The 17,792-nt window shown below is 40.7% G+C and overlaps 1 protein-coding gene across 9 annotated transcripts in view, besides 1 other annotated feature; it reads left to right on the plus strand.

The window, feature by feature from the left end:
* TTC12 (tetratricopeptide repeat domain 12) overlaps window positions 1–17,792 on the plus strand; it is a 58,715-nt gene that overhangs the window by 1,147 nt on the left and 39,776 nt on the right. For 5 of the 9 annotated variants that reach the window (NR_147891.2, NM_001378064.1, NM_001378065.1 and 2 more), the window contains exons 2-7: window positions 514–586; window positions 7,559–7,722; window positions 8,265–8,286; window positions 8,876–8,953; window positions 9,795–9,916; window positions 14,191–14,250. Coding sequence is in view for 6 of the 9 variants with exons in the window: in NM_001378064.1 (NP_001364993.1) it covers window positions 529–586; window positions 7,559–7,722; window positions 8,265–8,286; window positions 8,876–8,953; window positions 9,795–9,916; window positions 14,191–14,250 (504 nt within the window). In the remaining 3 variants the exon portion in view is untranslated. Of the gene's footprint in view, window positions 1–513; window positions 587–7,558; window positions 7,723–8,264; window positions 8,287–8,875; window positions 8,954–9,794; window positions 9,917–13,912; window positions 14,080–14,190; window positions 14,251–17,792 lie in introns of all 9 variants that reach the window. The other 4 variants (NM_001378063.1, NM_001352037.2, NR_165392.1 and 1 more) reach the window with 3 other exon arrangements.
* Window positions 15,853–17,052: an enhancer, noted in NCBI's record as "BRD4-independent group 4 enhancer chr11:113202304-113203503 (GRCh37/hg19 assembly coordinates)". NCBI's record gives its function as "activates an origin of replication core promoter dependent on BRD2, P300/CBP, MED14 and CDK7 cofactors, and independent of BRD4, by STARR-seq in HCT116 cells {active_cell/tissue: HCT116}" and the evidence as "EXISTENCE:reporter gene assay evidence [ECO:0000049][PMID:35650434]".

Here is a 17,792-nt window from a genome sequence, read left to right on the forward strand (position 1 = left end):
TCAGTCAATTTGTACCCTTTCTTCACTCTTCAGAAACAAGCCAAAGGCAGATTTTAAACAAGTATGGACATTTAGATGCAAATTGCCCCAAGTTTGTTACCTGTCACACATCCACATTTAAGCTTCTGACTAGACCAGCCTGTCATGATCAAAGTCAGGTGTTAGTGTATTTCTCTATCCTTGGCAACCTGTCATCTGCTCTCTTCTCATCTCCATGCCAGGTCCCTAAATCGCCGGGGTTGATGTTGGCTTTGGAAGAACTATTTGCAGAGCGTTTTCTGCACTGGAAGGAGGGCTGGAAGCTTTCTGGAAGCATTGCCGCACGTAAATGAGTGCCTCTTGGCCTAAAACAGCAGTTGGAATGAAAGGGATCACCCTGCTGTTATTCATTGACATAAACAAAACTGTCATAAAAATAATCACTTGGCTCTTAGTTTTAGAAGGCTAATAAGCCTGACCGTTCTGTTTAGTGCTTTATTATTATTAATTTCACCATTATGCTGCATCCCTTAGGGATTCCGGTTCACAATGGATGCTGATAAAGAGAAAGATTTGCAGAAATTTCTTAAAAATGTGGATGAAATCTGTAAGTACTAGTAAATCATAAATTAATTTCTGCTTTAGAGAAGTGGAGTAGATAAATGATTGCTCTAAGTTCCTGGGTGGCTTGACAGGTTTATAACTCTTAGGAAAAAAATGTAATTGAAATTAAAGAGAAGGGTATTGAGAAACAAGTTATAGCCTCAGGGCTGTATTTTCTGGCTGTTAATTGGTATCAGAGAAACTGTTAACATTCTGATAGGAATTCAGGCTGACGGTTTTCTTCCATATTTTGTATCCTTCTATGTGGAATCCAGTCAAAACCAGCTGCTGTTTCCCCATTGACAATGAACCCAGCTGTTCCCTTCAAGGGTCAAGAACCTCATTGATCAGTGTGAGATTCCTCCCGTTTTAGAGTAGAGCCATTTCTGTTTTAGAGCTGCAGAGGCAAAATCAAATGGCTTTCCTTTAGGATCCATCAAATTACATGGATGGTTTATGATCATCATTCCCTTCTCTCTCTCTAGACAAGAAAGTCCTTTCCCAAGTTCAGGCAGGTTGGATCTCAAAGAAATGTACTCTGATCCCACAGATCACATTCAGGAATTTCCAAACCTGTCAGTCCCTGTTCAGGGAGCTTGCTTGAGTATAGAAACAAACAAACCAACAAGCAAACAGACCTTACATAGTAAATACAGGCAATATGCTGAAATTGCTGCTTGTAGCAGATTGTATGGGTTCAAGGAATAAAGTGGTTTTAAAGCTAGCTTGGGTGACATCGTAAATGATACATGAATAATGCTTATCCCTGAATGCTGTTCCATGGAGCTCTGGCCTTGGCCCACTGCCACCTTTCTCTTCAGCTGGTCTAAACATGTAGCTTTACCTGCCACCTGTTTGTTCATGACCCCCACATCTACATGGACACTTAGCCTTCTTTTCTGAGCCTCTGCCTCTATGGTACTGTCATACCTACTGTATCCCACAAATAAACTTAAATGTGTCCAAAATTGAGGCATCATCTCTTTCCCTCCCCTTTGCCCTCCCCCTCCCAAATAAAACCTGCTTCTCCTACCCTCACCTTCATCCTGGTCTCAGTTGGTGACACCACCATCCAGAAATTTACAGGTCATCTGGGACTCCTCCCAACTCATAACCCTGCATCCAATTAGCCATCTAGTTTGGTTGGAGAGCCATCCTCTCCAGCCCTCCCTTTGTTCTGGTTCTTCTCACCCAGACTATGTCAACAACCCCCTGATTGTTTTTCCTGTCTCCAGGCTTATACTTCCCACAGAGTAATGTATCTAAAATGCAAATCTGACCCAGACACTTCTCTGCTTGGATTCCTTTTGCAGTCATAATAAATCCCAAGCTCTCATCAGGACTTAAGTCCTCCCATGACCTTGTCCTTACCTCTCTCATATCTCCCTACCTCACGCTTGAGCAGCAATAAACTGCTGATACTTCGCCACACATACTCTGTGTTTCACACTCTGCACTGGATCTTTGCCATTCCCACTGCCTCTTCATCTTTTTTTTTAACCTGGCTAACTTATGCATACTCAAAGTTCATTCAGGTATCATGTATACCAGTGCTGTCCAATAGAGCTTTCTGTGATGATGAAAATGTTCCATAATCCTCACTGTCCACTATGGTAGCAACTAGCCACATGATTATTGAGCATTTGAAATATGGCTTATAACTCCACCCTGTGGTCTAGTGCTTAGGGTTCTGTGTGTTTGTGGCTGCAGCCCAGGTTTGAAATGCGGCTTGTTTCAATTAATTTAAATTTATGTAGCCACATGTGTATAGATTCTGTACATTTACTTCTTGGGCTCTTGCTATGTGTTGAGTGTTGGTAAGGCCTAGAGAATACAGTCAAAGAATTATTCTTTTCATGGTATTAATAGTCCAGTGGAGAAAACAGATATTAAACAGTAATTTCAAGTATGCAATATGAGACACAGAGAATTACAAAGTGTAGGGATCTAACCCAGCTTTGGGAGGTTGTATTAGTCGGCTAGGGCTGCTGTAACAAAATAGACTGGCTGGCTTAAATGACAAAACTTTATTTTCTTAGAGTTCTGGAGTTTAGAAATCTAAGACCAGGGTGTGAGCAGGTTTGGTTTCTTCTGAGGCCTCTCTCCTTGGCTTGCAGATGGGCACCTTCCCGCTGTGCCCTCACATGGTCATCTCTCTGTACGTGCATATATTTGGTGTTTCTCTTCTTACAAGGACACTAGTCATATTGGATTAGGGCAATGATTAGTTACTTCTTTAAAGGCCCTATCTACAAATACAGTCATACCAGGAGTTATAGCTTCAACATGTGAATTTTTGGGGGGGATGCAATTTAGTCCATAACAGAAATTAAATAAAGTTTTCCAGAAGAAGTGAGATTTAGGCAAAATGTGAAGAGTGAGTCGGAGTTGGTCACTGGGAAAATGACAGGGGAGTGTCCTGGGTGGGAAGTAAGGAGGTAGGAAAGCTAAGAGTGAAGAAAGAGTGTGGTGCTTTTGAGGAACTAAAAGAATAAAAAGCCCCAAATGTCTGGAAAGAAGAGATCAAGGAGAGAAGAGTCCCATCTGAATATGGAGGGGCCAGATTAGGAAAGACCTTGGAAACCATGGTAAGGAATTTGTGTTTACCGAGAGCAGTAAATCAATTCCATCTAATTTATGTAATGACTCTTCCCCCAAGGAGGTGGAGCATCTCTACCCCTTAAATGTGAGATACATTTAGTGACTTGCTTCCAAAGAGTACAGTATGGAAAGGGAGGGAAGAAAGTAACTTTACAGTGGAAAAGGTTGGCAAACACAATTTCAGATAGATGATCAAGGTTAACCTCCTGATAAATCACACTGATGGCATGCATCCCTGATACGCCATAATGTGCCATGGTCTTTTTCCCCAAATCCTGTAACTCCAGTCTAACCGTGAGAAAAATACCAGATAAACCCAAATTGCAAGGTATTCTATGCAAACTCATAGAATGTCAAGGTCATCAAAACTGTCAAGGTCATCAAAATAAGGAAAGGGTGAGAAATTGTCGCAGCCTAGAGAAGCCTAAGGAGACATGACTAAATGTCGTGTAGTGTTCTGGATGGGATCCTGGAATAGGAAAAGGGCATTAGGGAGAAAAAACAATGAAATTAGAATAAAGTGTGCAGTTGAGTTAATTTAAAAAAAAGTTAATTAAAAGACATGAAAGAAGAGCTAAATAAATGGAGACGTATTTAATCCTAGGAAGACTTATTTGGTAAAAATGTCAATTTTTAAAATATTCTATGCAGTAAATACAATTTAGATCAAAACCCGCAAAGTAGTATGTACTAAAATTCAGCAAGCTGATTCCAAAGTTTACGTGGAAGAGCAAAGGACCAAGAAGAGCCAAGAAAACTCTGCAGGAAAAAAAAAAAAAGCAGGACAACTTTCCCTACCTGACATTCAAGATTTATTATAAAGCCATAGTAATCAATGCATGGAGGTTTTCGTGCTGGAAAGGACAATCAGGGGAAAGGAATGAAGAGCCTGGAGAAGATTTGCACACATAACAGGGATGATGAGACACATTGCTGGCAGGGACTTCTCAACAAATAATGCTCCTGCCCTACGTGAAAGTCAACTCTAGGTGAATTACATACCTTAGTAAGAAAAAAACTTTAAAACTTTTATAAGACACCATAAGAGAGTATATTTATAACCTTACTGACACAAAAGACCTAAATTGTAAAGGAAAAGATGGTATATTTAACACACTAAAATTAAAAAGAAAATCTCTTCAACAACATATTCCATAAAAACAAATGAAAAGACAAAGAATACCCAAGGGGAAGATGTTTGGAAATACATGTAACCAGTCCAGAATATATACAACTGATACGGGTAGGAGATGGGAATAGTGGATAGAAGAGGGTGGTTCCCTGGCAAAGACCCCACCCTCAAGCCGGGAGATCTGCAGCGCTAAGTGGAAACAGGCATTTCTGTTTTCGTGCCCAAAAAGTTGCCTTTTGGCCTGCCATGCTCCCCTATCCTGTGCCCATGTAAACTCTGAACCCCAGGCTCCAGAAGCAGACGAGCAGGTGAGATGAGGACACAAGCAGACAAATGGCAGAACGACACAGTAGAGAAAAGAGGAGGAATGTCTGAACGCCGAGAGGAGTTTGGCTGGGAGCAGCCAGAGGGGAGTTGGGCCACTGGATGGCCAGGCTCCAGGGGAAGATCATCTTTCCCCTCCATTCCCCCTTCCAGCTCCCCATCCATCCCACTGAAAGCCACCTCCACCACTCAGTAAAACCCCACATTCATCCTTTAGTCCTGTGTGTGACCTGATTCTTCCGGGGATGCTGGGCAAGAGCTCGGGATACAAAAAGCTGTCACTTCCCTCTGCCCTTGTGAAAAGGCAGATGTCCGTCAAGCTGGTTAACAATCAAGTCGTCCGCAGATGGCAGGGCTAAAAGGACACGCTGTAACACGTGCCCAACTGGGCTCCTGCACTTGTCCGTCTGCGTTCTCCCCCTCCCCTCAGGGGTTTGAGCAGTGGTGGTGACTAAACAGGCAAGCCACACCCCTGTCGCATGTCCTGCGAGGGGGATCAGAGAACTCCCCTGTTTCACAATCAAATCAACCAGGCATGGTGGTGTGTGCCTGTAGTCTTTGCTACTCAGGAGGCTGAAGCAGGAGGATCGCTTGAGCCCAGGGGTTCAAATCGAGCCTGGACAACATAGCAAGACCATCTCTTAAAAAAAAAAGAATTTTTTAAAAAAGAAATTATATTAACTAATAAGAAAGAGACAATGACCCAATAGAAAATTGGCCAAGGATAGGAGTAGGCTCTTCGTAGAAATCCAAATGGGTGCAAATCAATAAGAAGATGCTCAATTCCAATCAAATTCAGCGAAATGCAAATTAAAACAATGAGATACCATTCCCATCCATTACATTGACAACAATTAAAAAGTTTAACCCAGCAAGTGATGATAAGAATGTAGAAGAATGGGAACTTCCTCTTGTACTCTTTTGTAGGAGTAAAAATTGGTACAGCCATATCCTGAAGGATATGTAACATGTGCACAAGGAAATATGTACATACAGGTATTCAATTCAGCATTTATTTACTTTAGAAAAAACTGAAAAACCACCTGGCTATCAATAAGAGAATGGATTAACTATGGTATATATAATGGTTTAAATGAATCAACTGGAACCATGTGTATCAAGAACACATCTCTAAAGCATCTTAAGAGAAAAAAGTAGGTTGCAAATGAATGCACATTTTATACAACTATTTTAAAAAATTGTTTAAATATTACATACACAAATATTCTGGTAGATTGCAAGAATGGTTACAAATTCCTTTCTTCCCATCAAGAGTGGAGCCTATTTCTCTGCCACTTGAATCTGGGTTGGCCATGTGTGTTGCTTTGGCCAAAAGGATGTTTGCAAACATGACACAAGCAGAGGCTTGAAAAGTGCATTTGAATTAGGGCTTGCACTCATACCACTCATGAGAAAGTAAGACACACTTACCCGGGTTGCTTGCATTTCTCAAGCCAACAGCCAGCAGACTTTCTAAAGCAGAGCCACTTAGATGACTGACAGTTGACCATGGATATATGTGTGAGTCCAGCTGAAACCAGAACTGGCCAGCTGAATTCAGCTCAAATTGTTGACATAGATAATTGTAAACTAAGCCACAAAAATGGTGGTTTGTTTCAAACCACTAAGTTTTGATGTGGTGTGTGATGCAGCAAAATCTAAATGATACAAATACTAAGTATTAAAGCATGCTGGAGAAAAGATACCATCAACTTATAAATGGCATAGAAACAAAAATATTATATTACTTTCGGTATGCTTGAAATATTGTACAATTAAAAATTTATAATTTCCTTGAAGACTCAGTGGGAAATGAAGAAATTAGAACAGGAAAATGAATTAAGAAGTTTAATTGTGAAGGGGAGGAGACAGAGCATTAGGAGAGATTTAAAGTACATAATTTAGAAGGAAGCTGGTCGAATGGAATAGGTTGAAAATATTGCGCAATAGGATTATTAATTGGTGATGCAGCGTTCCTGATTATGCAAAATATGACAATGGAATCCTGGGCCCAGGATGAGGGACTAACCTTACAGAAGAATGGGCACCTTTTCCTGGTAGTAAGGAAGGATGGATGTAGGTATAGGCAGTTTTGTAGTTTTAATAGCAGGAAGTCGATGGCATCTCTTTCCTCTCTGAATTGATAAATAAGGGCATCTTTTTGAGATGGTCAGGTTTAGATTGCAAACTGTTAAAAGTCATTGGGGGAGTGACAGGATATCTTGCCCAGGATAACAAGGATTGCTGGGCATCACTGAAGGTCCAGTTGAGTTTGAGTTTGGACCAGTCCCCCAGGCATCTATCTGTCTCCCTCAGTACATAGCATTCCTAATGCAGACTGGTAGAATTGGGTAATTGGAATTATGTAGAGCTGGAATTTTGTCTGTTAGGTGAGATAGCAGGGCAAGGGAGTTGAGTATATGGGCAGGATGGCTGCTGAGTGATTGACCATGGAATCTAAGCTGGATAAGCAGTAAAGTGAAGACAGGTGAGGATAGGGTTAAGGGCTGCTGTTTTGCGATTTTGAGCTGCCTGTACTTACATGTTTGTCTCCCACACAAGTTCATAAACTCTTCAAAAAAGGATCTTTTTTTATTCATCATTGTTATCTATAGCATCAGCATAATATCTAACTCATAATGAGCTCTCCATAAATTATTGTTGAATTGAATAATGGCTTAAAACTCTGTTCCTTAAAGCTAATAGCTATACTCACCTGCAACTTTTTCTAGGCAAAAAAAAAAAAAAAAAAACCTGTTGTTAATTTTTTCTCATTGGTTCTGCTTGCTCTATTTTGCTTTCTATTGCTCTATTTTTTTCTTTAAGATCTTTCCCATGCATTTTATGCACCATCCTTTCTAGTGAATAGAGTCTTTTGAATATCTTGTTTGATTAAGTCACACCTGATTTCTTCTCTAGCCAATTTAATTCAGGAGATGAATTCTGATGACCCAGTTGTGCAACAGAAAGCTGTCCTGGAGACAGAAAAGAGACTACTGCTTATGGAGGAAGACCAGGAGGAGGATGAATGCAGGACCACCTTGAACAAGACTATGATCAGTCCTCCACAAACTGCTATGAAGGTTTCTTTTTCTATTGAGAAGTTATATAAGTACTTACAGTGAGAAGACCTACACCTAGGCAGTAGTTTAATCTCAAACTGTCCAGCAAGGCTGAAATGGTCTTTTGTTTCTTAGATTTATTTTTTATAAGAAAGTATAAAATTTGATTTTTTTTTTCCTTTGATCTTTCTGGGTTATCTTTAAACAACCCTTTGGATCTATTTTAATGGAAATTTCCCCTCTCCACCCCCTGAGCTTGTGTGATATATTTAAGCTGTACCTTTAAGGTAATGTATTCTAACTCATTTCCAACTCATAAGCCACAGCTGAGGTCCCTTGACCTGGGCAGCCTTGTTTTGCAGACTCGGTCCCATAGCAATTGTGCCCATACTCAGATCTCCTGATTTAAAGCAAGCCCCATGAATTCTGAGCCCTTCAGTTTTGATGGTTAAAAGAAATGACCTCTTGTTTGTAATTGATTTGCCTTCTTGGTTTATATACATATAAATTAGAGTGGTTTTTGAAATTTGTTTCTTTGTTTTTATGGTAACCTACGTCTACAGAGTGCAGAAGAAATAAACTCAGGTAAGGACAGCATCTCTCTTCCCAATTTTCATTCTTTATATAGGACCAGTTTTGATTGATTGTAGCTCCCAGACCCTTAAATTATTGCCTTTGAGCTTACAAACAACCTGTGAACAAAAACCTACTGATCATCCCATTCTGTTACTAGTGATCAGCGGGAATGTCCCTGAGAGGTTTTTCTTTATTTTCTCTTGGTCAACCTTTTGTAAACTCAATTCAGTTATTCTGTATCATCCAATTTACCCTGTTCAAGGGATCCAGATAGTTTCTCTGTTGCTCAGCTCAGAAGCTCATTATGCTAAACGGAACAAAAAAATCTCTCTTCAAAGAAAAACTCTTTTAAAAGACATAATTCAAATTTGAAGCACAGTCATAGCCATCATGTGTAATAATGCATCACACAGATTACCATTTAATGTCAAATGAAGAAAATGTCATTTTAGTTGCCTCAGAATGGTGTGTGTGCGTGTGTGTGCCTGTGTGCATATGCATACGTGTGGCTCTAAAGTAACACTTCGAATTTGAGCTAAAGAACTGATTATAGTATTTGGATTTTTCTTTTTAATATCTGAAATTACCCTGCTGTCAGAGGCCTTCTTGGCATCTGTGGAGAAGGATGCAAAGGAACGAGCCAAGAGAAGAAGGGAAAACAAAGTCTTGGCGGATGGTAATTGTCAGTCCTTACTTTTCAATGGCTGGGATGATTTGTGCTAGAAAGAGCACACGAAGGCCTGTATGCTGACATTTGAGGACATCTAGATTCCCAGTGGTGAGGTTTGTGATGGGCTTGAGGCAGTGGGACCTGGCCAGAAGGAAATCATTGATGGTCTGTTCTCTGTTCCTGCTGCAACAAGCAGAGGGTAGGATACACCTACCTCCAGTGAAACCTCTTTCTGAAGCTTCCCTGTGCACTTAGCAGAGCAAAGTGAATTGTACTAAACAATGCTCAGGAAGTAGTGGGGGGTGAGAGTGAGCTGCCACTGGCTAGCCTAAGGCATAGATGAAGAAGTGGAAAAGAAAAATAAAACAGCTGTGAGATAGGAGAGGAGACATCAAGGAAAAGGAAGGGATGGGATTGTGTATGTTGCAGGGAGATACATATGATAGAAGAATGTTTTCACTTTTATTTTATACCACCCAGGGCTGTGTGTGCTGCAGGTCTGAATGATTCCATATTTGTTGGGAAAATTAATTATTTGACCCTCTTTATGAGACACCGAATGCACAGATTTGGTCTCTGTGGCAAGCTTAGTATGGTTCTCAGCCTCAATGCAGAAACATTTACTTTTTCTGAGAATCTACTTAGAAGACATGGGTGGATTTGGAGGAAAAAAAATACTTGAAGAAGCTGGTCCTGAAGTATCTGCAGAAAAAAACAAGTGTCAAGTCCCTTTAGGATCGATAGAAGTGAAGACCTTCGAAATAGAATTGGAAAATCGGGGGAATAAAGTCTGAGAGATTTTCTGATGTGTGGTGAGAGCTCACCTGTGTAACTTATATTCCCATAGCCCTAAAAGAAAAAGGGAATGAAGCATTTGCTGAAGGCAATTATGAAACAGCTATCCTGCGCTACAGTGAGGGTTTGGAGAAGCTGAAGGACATGAAAGTGCTGTACACCAACCGAGCCCAGGTCAGTGAGGCAGGGATGTATCCATGGGGCTTTCTCAGGGAATAGTTGCCACTAAACTTGGGAAAACAAAGATGAGGCTAGATGTTGGGCTGGGAAATGTTTATAAGAACTGGCTCTTGTTTTAAGTGTGGGAGGAGCTGACTTATACACAGCATTTACCAGTTTCCATGATGCAAATATTCTCACCATGATCTAATTTGGAATCACTGCAGGAGGACTTGGGAAGAGCTGTCCATTATCAGCTCTCTCCATAGTATAAGTCAGCTCCATCATATCACTGATGGTGACCATGCACTTGTCCCTGTGGATAAAGGAGAAAACTAGTGGAATGAAATGACCTATGGGACCTTAGAATTCTGCTACCAACATATTTCTTCAGCCTCCTTTTTTGGTACTAGTCTTAACTCCTAGCGGATGCCCACCTGTTAGTTTCTCATTCATTGTATCAGTCTCTCTTTAAGATTCTGCGACAGGGATAAAGTGGATAGCCAATGGTCCTGGAGCCAATTTCTTGGAAATTTTGGGTTTCTGAAGGTTTTTATGCATTAGTATATGTCACAAATGAGCTCAATTTCCTGGAACACCAGGTAAAAACCACCCAGATGTTTATTTACTACTTAATGAAGGGATAGGCTGATAGCTCTCAACTGAAACAAAACCATCACCTGTGACCTTATCTTTGAAAAGTAGTTTAGTTTTTGTGTGGTAGAGTTCTCTGCTGGACAGGCCTGAAAAATTGGCAGATTCATGGACATGATTACCCCATGGTCAGAATATGTCAGCAGGACCTGTGTGAGGTGGACTTGATGCCCTGTCATTTGCAAGAGGGAGAGGCTCAGCAGAGTCCTCATCAGCTCTAATTTCCCTAACTCGAGTTTAAGAATGTCTGGCTCTGGGATGTTGAGGAAGAGGACTGGAAGCAAGAAACAGGACATTCGGAAGCCGAAACATATGGGGAGTGACAGTGACTTAATGATAAATAAATCCAAGCAGTATAATCTCACTAGTTTAGCAATTTGGATATGTTAGACTAGAGTTGAAGTGTCATTTAAACTATCCCAATTTTGGAGAAAACTTGTTATAAGGAAGTGAATCGGTAAAAAAGATGGCCAGAGGTTGATTTAGCAGTACATTGCATTACCCGAACAAGATTATAAACTTTTTGAGGGCAAAAACTGCCATATACTTTTTCCCCTAATGCTTTATTTATAGCAGATGTTCAATAAATCCTTTTTTAGTTACATAACGTTAAAAGCACAATAAGTCCAATTAAGGGAGTTAAGTTTCTGTTGACAATTCAGAGGCATCACTTAAATGCAAGCAATTAATAGAATAATTATAGTTCCTTCTTATTTATTACCAAATTTGGTCTCTAAAAACATCTGCCTACTGATGCTTATTCAGTTGTGTTACTCTGAAATTATTTGAAAGCAACAAAATTGAATTGCTTTAAAAAAGTTATATAATTTCAGACATATCTAATTCAGACTGTCTATACTCTGATTCATCTAAATTATATTTTCACTGCACTCATTTTTAAGCAGCACTTTGATTAGTTCTGAAGAATCACATTAAGAATGAATGTGGATAAATATAAGGAAATGTAATGAAAAGGTTTGAGGGAGTGATTCCTCTCAGCTTTCCCAAGGAGAAAGCTTATGCAGAGACAAAATAATGGACAATGTGCTCCCTGGTGTTACAAACCGTTTGAACCATTGACTATTTTTAAAATGCTTCCCCTGTATGCATGCAGTGTCAGAAAACACTTAATAAGGACCCTGTAAATTGAGTGTTGCTTGCTAGAGAGAAAACCTAACCTTTCATTGCTTTGTTTTTCCCCTGGAGTTAATGTTATGATCAATAGATTGCCGGTATAATTTAGATAAATCTGGAGTTTAATTGCTGTTTGGAAAAAGTAGTTCCTTTTTAAAATGTGCAAAAGCAAAAGAGATTGAGGAAGTTATAGGGTGTTTAATCCAAGCCTTAAGAGAGAAAGAAAAAAAAAAGTAAAAGGCTGTGTAGAGAAATTGTTGGAACCCATAAAGACTTCTTCAGAGTCTGCATGTATCCTAAATAATAGTGCCATGAAATCATGGCCACAGCTGTCTAGAATGATGCCAGCTTCCTCTTCACATCCTCTAATTTTCAAATGAAACCTGAGACCCTGGAGAAAAGGATGATGCTTTACAGAACAGATAGCTCAAAGAGTCGTCTTCTCTAATTAGTACAGAACATGAGTTAATGAAAGCACCACTCGCAGCTTCCTTGCTATGGGAGCCAAGAGCGGCATGATTTCAATTCATTTGCTGGCTGTTGCCTACTCCCTCCTCACTTGGGTTGGATACTTGGATTCCCTGTGAGTTGCAACATTGACCCCACAATTGGCTTGTCCATGTAAGTATCTCATGAGGTTCGTTGTTAAGATTGTGTTGCAGTGCCCTGGTACAGTTTTGATCATGGACAATCCTATGTGTAGTACTGGCTTTATTATTGGTTGCTGATGGAACCCTGGAAAAGCCACCACTCCTGGTGCTTGGCTATCCTTTCGTACAAATGGGATGATCGATGCTGCCTCTCAGGGAGCTTTCCAGAAGAAGAGTGCTTCAGAGTTACTTAGTGCAATTTGATAAGACTTTATTGACCACTTACTGTGTCCAGTAATTAATAGAGAGGTTATAGTAGCCATTGTGCTTGTTTATAGTCTTTCATTTGTTTATATTCCTCTAGTCCTTAGAAACATTGAACTAAGTTCTCAATCAGTTCAGTTTGAATGGATCACGGAATTCTGAGTCAATTCTTGATTTTCAAGATTTTCCCCAATTCTAGGGGATTCTAAAAGAGTGCCCCAGGCATTTGATACTAAGGCTTCATGGTGATGCTCTGACTCTCATATGTCACTCTACTTCTTTCATTTTTTTTTTCTGCTGTGCTCGGGAGGACAGAAGCAGAGCTTTATTATCTTTTGATAACAGCGTTATTGAGATATAATTCACATACCATACAGTTCACCCTTTTATAGTACACAATTTAATGGAATTTTAGTATAATCACAGAGTTGTGCAACCATCACAATCAATTTTTGAACATTTCATCATCATCCCCCAAAAAAGCTCCATCTTCAACTGTCAACTCCCCCAATCCTCCCATTACTACTCCCAGCCCAAGATAATCACCAATCTACTTTTTGTCTCTATACCTTTGTCTGTTCTGGACATTTTATATAAATGAAATCATACATTTGTCCTTTTATGACTGGCTTCTTTCATTTATCGTAATGCTTTTAAGATTCATCCATGTTATAGTATGTATCAACTCCTCTTCATTTCTTTTTATTGCTGAATAATTTTCCATTGTGTGGATATACCATATTTTATGTATCCCTTCATCACTGATGGACATTTGGATTGTTGCCTTTTGACTATCATGAATAATTCTGCTATGAACATTCATGTGTAAGCATTTGTATGGATGTATATTTATATTCTTCTTTGGTATATACCTAGGAGTAAAATTACTGGGTCATATGGTAACATATTTAACCTTCTGAAGAACTTCCAGGCTATCTTCCAGATGGGCTGTGCCATTTTAATGCCCACCAGCAGTGTATGAGAGCTCTAATTATCTGTCTTTTTTATCCCCTTTATCATTTGGTGTTTTTCTGGAACATTCACAGCAGGGTAGACTCCAGAATCCAGCTCTTCCTTCTTGGATGTGGCTAGTGAGCTGGGTATTTTCTCTGTCCCTCTAGATCCTTCCCTGCTTTGTGCCCTGGAGGGCTGACCTGTGTGGACTGGCTCCTTGGCTTCCTAGCCCTCTAGCTTCCATTTGCATTCAGCCAATAAAATGAGAAGGAAGGAGGAAAAGTGAGATTGGGGTATTTATTCTCCTGGCCTTCGGCTCTGGTGAAGGCCTCAGCTCATGTCAGGCAGTTCTTTTCGCAGAGCTGTCCTCCCACATTTTGTTCATTGCTCCCTCCTTCTGCCCCTTCCATTACAGCAGTGGTAATGGCTGTCCACTGTTGCTAGCCCTGCGATTCTGTAGCATCCCTTGTCAGGTTCCCTAAGCCCTGCCTTCACCGTGGAAGAGGTCCCTGTATTCAACTCTCCTCAGTTGCCCAGTGCAAGTGTGCCATCTGTTTCCTGGCAGGACCATGACTGATCCAGGTAGGGGATAGTTCTCGCTGACATTCTACTGTTCGAATGTTCTTTCTGTGTGAACTGAAAACTGCCTGATGCAGAATTGTGTGTGAATATCAGCTGTTGGTTTCATTACAGGCTTATATGAAACTTGAGGACTATGAGAAGGCACTGGTGGATTGTGAGTGGGCTCTCAAGGTAAGAGGGTATTTCTTTTCCCACATGATAGTGTTGGGCTGAAGTAGATAGAAGGCAGCTGCCAGTGTATCAAGATAGGAAAGGGTATAGCCTCTGTAGCCAGAGCTTCAGTTTCCTCATCTGTAGAATGGGATAGAATAGAATTGTTAGGAGGGTCACGACAATGCACAGAAAGTGCCTAGTTCCTAGAAAGCAATCCAGGGAGCTGCTGCTATTGAAGTTTCAATGTCTTATTTTACTTCAGCTCCTTCTTTACTATTGTGTTATCAGACACTTGGTTCTATGTGGTAGTGGAAATGCCTCCTTCTGTCTTCTAGAGCCAGCCATTGGAGCTTATTTCTGCAATGCTGTTCTTCCTTGTCAGTTTGTGTTTTTTCCCTCCAGCCCTAGTAATTTGGAAATATAACATCCTCTATTTGTAGAGGAATAATCAGAAGAAAGAATTCCTATTTTTCAACTTTAGTCAGGCCTTGAGCAGATAAAATAATTCTACACATGGCATTTCCTCTGAAATCTGCCAAAATAGATGGTCAAGGATGCATAGACATAAAGACTATTGGTGGAAATGTTAAGAGTTACTAAAAGAGAAATAATACGATCACTTTTTAGGGACATGACCAAATATTTAAGTAACCCTTAATCCACATTCCCCTAAAGTACTCTGTCACGGGGGTTTTAACTAAGTAACCAAAACTAGTGCTTCTCAGACTTCTGCACTATGCTGCTAACAGCAGAGGAGAATGAACATGAGCCCCTCGAGAGGGACTAGAAGCAGAAAGCATGAAATTTCTTTTAAGATGTGTGTTTTACCTGAAAAACCTTGTTAATTTTGCACAGCACTTCATAAAACTTATCTTTGTTTTGATATAACAGCATGATTTTCAATAACTTAGAATCAAGTAAAATTGAGGTACCAGGAGAATGTGCCAGGTTTATCCTGTGGCTTCAATTCTTGGGTACAGCACACCTACCCTAGCCTAATGAGTATGTCCCAAAACAAGAGGACACTTCCCTAGCAGCATACTGGCCATATCTGCTTTATTTCTTATTGAGAGGGTAAGCAAAGGAAACAGAGATGAATGAGAAAGTCACCTCTGCTTATAATCATTCATAAAACACTAGGGATCCTCTAACACTGACATCTGGAGTATCCAATTTCTTTATCCCTTAGAAGATAAAATGTGTGGCAAATTTTGTCCCATTGCACAGGTATAGTCTTTAAGTTATAAGAGTTGCCCAAAGCTGATGACGTCAAGCTCCTCACAGCTCCATCATAGATCCACTAACCTGCTTTGTCGCCTTGCTTGATAATGGTTTATTTTTCTACCATTATTCTGCAGGAGAAGAGAGAGGCAAGGATGTTTTCCTTGGTTTTTCCAGTAATAACAGCAAACAACATCATTTGCTGCATGCTCACGAAATTCTATTCTGTTCTGTTCAGTGTCACTATTTTCTCTATTTTTCTGACAAGGAAATCAAGCCTCAGTGATTGATTAAGTAACTTGTGCAGGATCATGAAGCTAGTGTCTGTCTAACTCTAAGCCCTTGCTCTTAAACCTCTATAAAGGGCCTCTCCACTGCAACTTTAAACCCCGTAATCCCTGGGTGTGGATGTCATTCCCTTCTATGGAAGAAACACGATCTCCTCACAGGTTCACCAAGAGTATCTTTTCTGATCTGAAAAAGGCCAAAGGGGCAGACATACCATCATGCTGATTCAGGATAACAGGCTGGCCTGTTCCCAAATGTTAATTGAAGTACAATGTAATTAACGGTGAAACCGAGGCCAAGCAGGCCCAATGGAGCTGACATTAAAAAACACTGACACTCAGCAGCCAATCTTGTTAAATGCCCAGCGAGGCTCCCAGTTGAAGAGATTGGGTAAACACTTGGAGAAATGAGAAAAAAAAATGTACAAAGAGTTCTAAAAACTAATAATGATTTGTTTTATGTTGCAGCTGTGAATTAAAAGAAAAGCTTTTGCTCTCTTTAAAATTAATGTATCAATAGTGAATGTCACTGGCACTCCATTACTAATAGTATTAGTACTTTCATGCCAATTTAATCTTTTTGGACACTTTTAAATTGGTAGAGACAAGCTTATGTGATGATATTTCAAGACTGATGTTTCTTGTCAAGGAAGATAAGGCAGCAAAGCTGGTTTCAATTAGGACCAGAATCATTTCTTTCTCAGCAGAACACTTCTTGCACAATGAAATACATCTTCCTCTGAAGGCAGGATTCCTTTAAAGGGAAGCTGGGGTTCACCCAAGAAAATTCTCGTGAGGGTCGACACATGATCAAAGGAGAGTGGGCCTATTCGTGAGAAAAATCCATTAGTAGCCTTTTGCGTCATTGTCTGAGGAAGGCAAAGTCACAACTATCTGCACTTCACGGTGACACACGATAGGCTGGGGGACAAGGCTTTAATGCTTGGGGCTCGGTTTCCCCCGCCTGCTGTAACCCCGGTGCTCTGCCAGTGAATGCACTGTGAATATTTGGCTTTCATGAGCTGAAGTGCTAGAGTTTCCTCTTTTCCCTTTGACCATTCCTTTCCTGCTTCCTCAATTTTATCCTTTGTGAATTCATGAGGGGTCACCCCTCTGCTCCCCGTCTTTCGTCTCTCTACAGTTACTCCCTTACAGCTCTCTTCTCCTCTCATGGGCTCAACTCTCATCTCTGCAAAAGGCTCTCAGACCTACTTCCCCAGTCTCCCCTTCCCCAGCTCCAGGGCTGCATGTCAGCTGCCTCCTGCAGGTGCCTTTTGATAGTCTTGATGTCATCTGAAACTCAGTATGTCTAGAAGCCAACTCTTCATCTTCTCACTCAGACTTTCCCACTCCCTGCCCTAGCTGACCTCTTTCCGTTAATGACACACCATGTCTTTCAGGTATCTAGGCCCGTGGTTTTGACTTCACATCCTCCATATCCCTTATCATTGATAGTTAGTTGATGCTGGTCAGATCTTTCTTTGACATAGCTCTGGCATCCTTTCCCTCCCACTCTCACCAGGACTTCAGATATTAGCCCTTGTTCTAAGTGATTGTTCTGGTCTCCTTACTCATCTCTCATTGTTCAGCCCACCATACCTCTTGTTCAGCCATTCCCTCCTCTGATCATGTCTGCGTGCCACCTTCCTACCAGCTTACCTCCACACTGCCATTGGTGACTCACCCTCCTCCAGTGTGGCATGCAAGGCTACCATATGGTGTTGCCATTTAGCTCAAGATGGGGTCTGCTCTCCACCCTGCACCTGCCCCTCGATCCCAGCTGGACCGTCCCCGGAGCCCCCTATACTCTCCTCACTCAGGTTCTTGCCCAGCCCACTCTCCCTCCATCCTCCTCTCTTCACCTCTCTGTGTCACTAAGACTCAGCCCAGATCCCTCCTTTGCATGCCCTTTTAAAGACTGCATTTTAGAGAATATTTTCTTCCATTGATTTTTTTCAGTAGCATTTTCTGTAGCATTTATATGCTTTTTTCTGTAGCACCTTTCTGAAGGAGATTTGGTGTCATTTTTAAACCCTTGAGAGTTTAATGGCC

This window comes from Homo sapiens, chromosome 11, assembly GCF_000001405.40.
Source record: "Homo sapiens chromosome 11, GRCh38.p14 Primary Assembly".
NCBI classification, from domain to species: domain Eukaryota; kingdom Metazoa; phylum Chordata; class Mammalia; order Primates; family Hominidae; genus Homo; species Homo sapiens.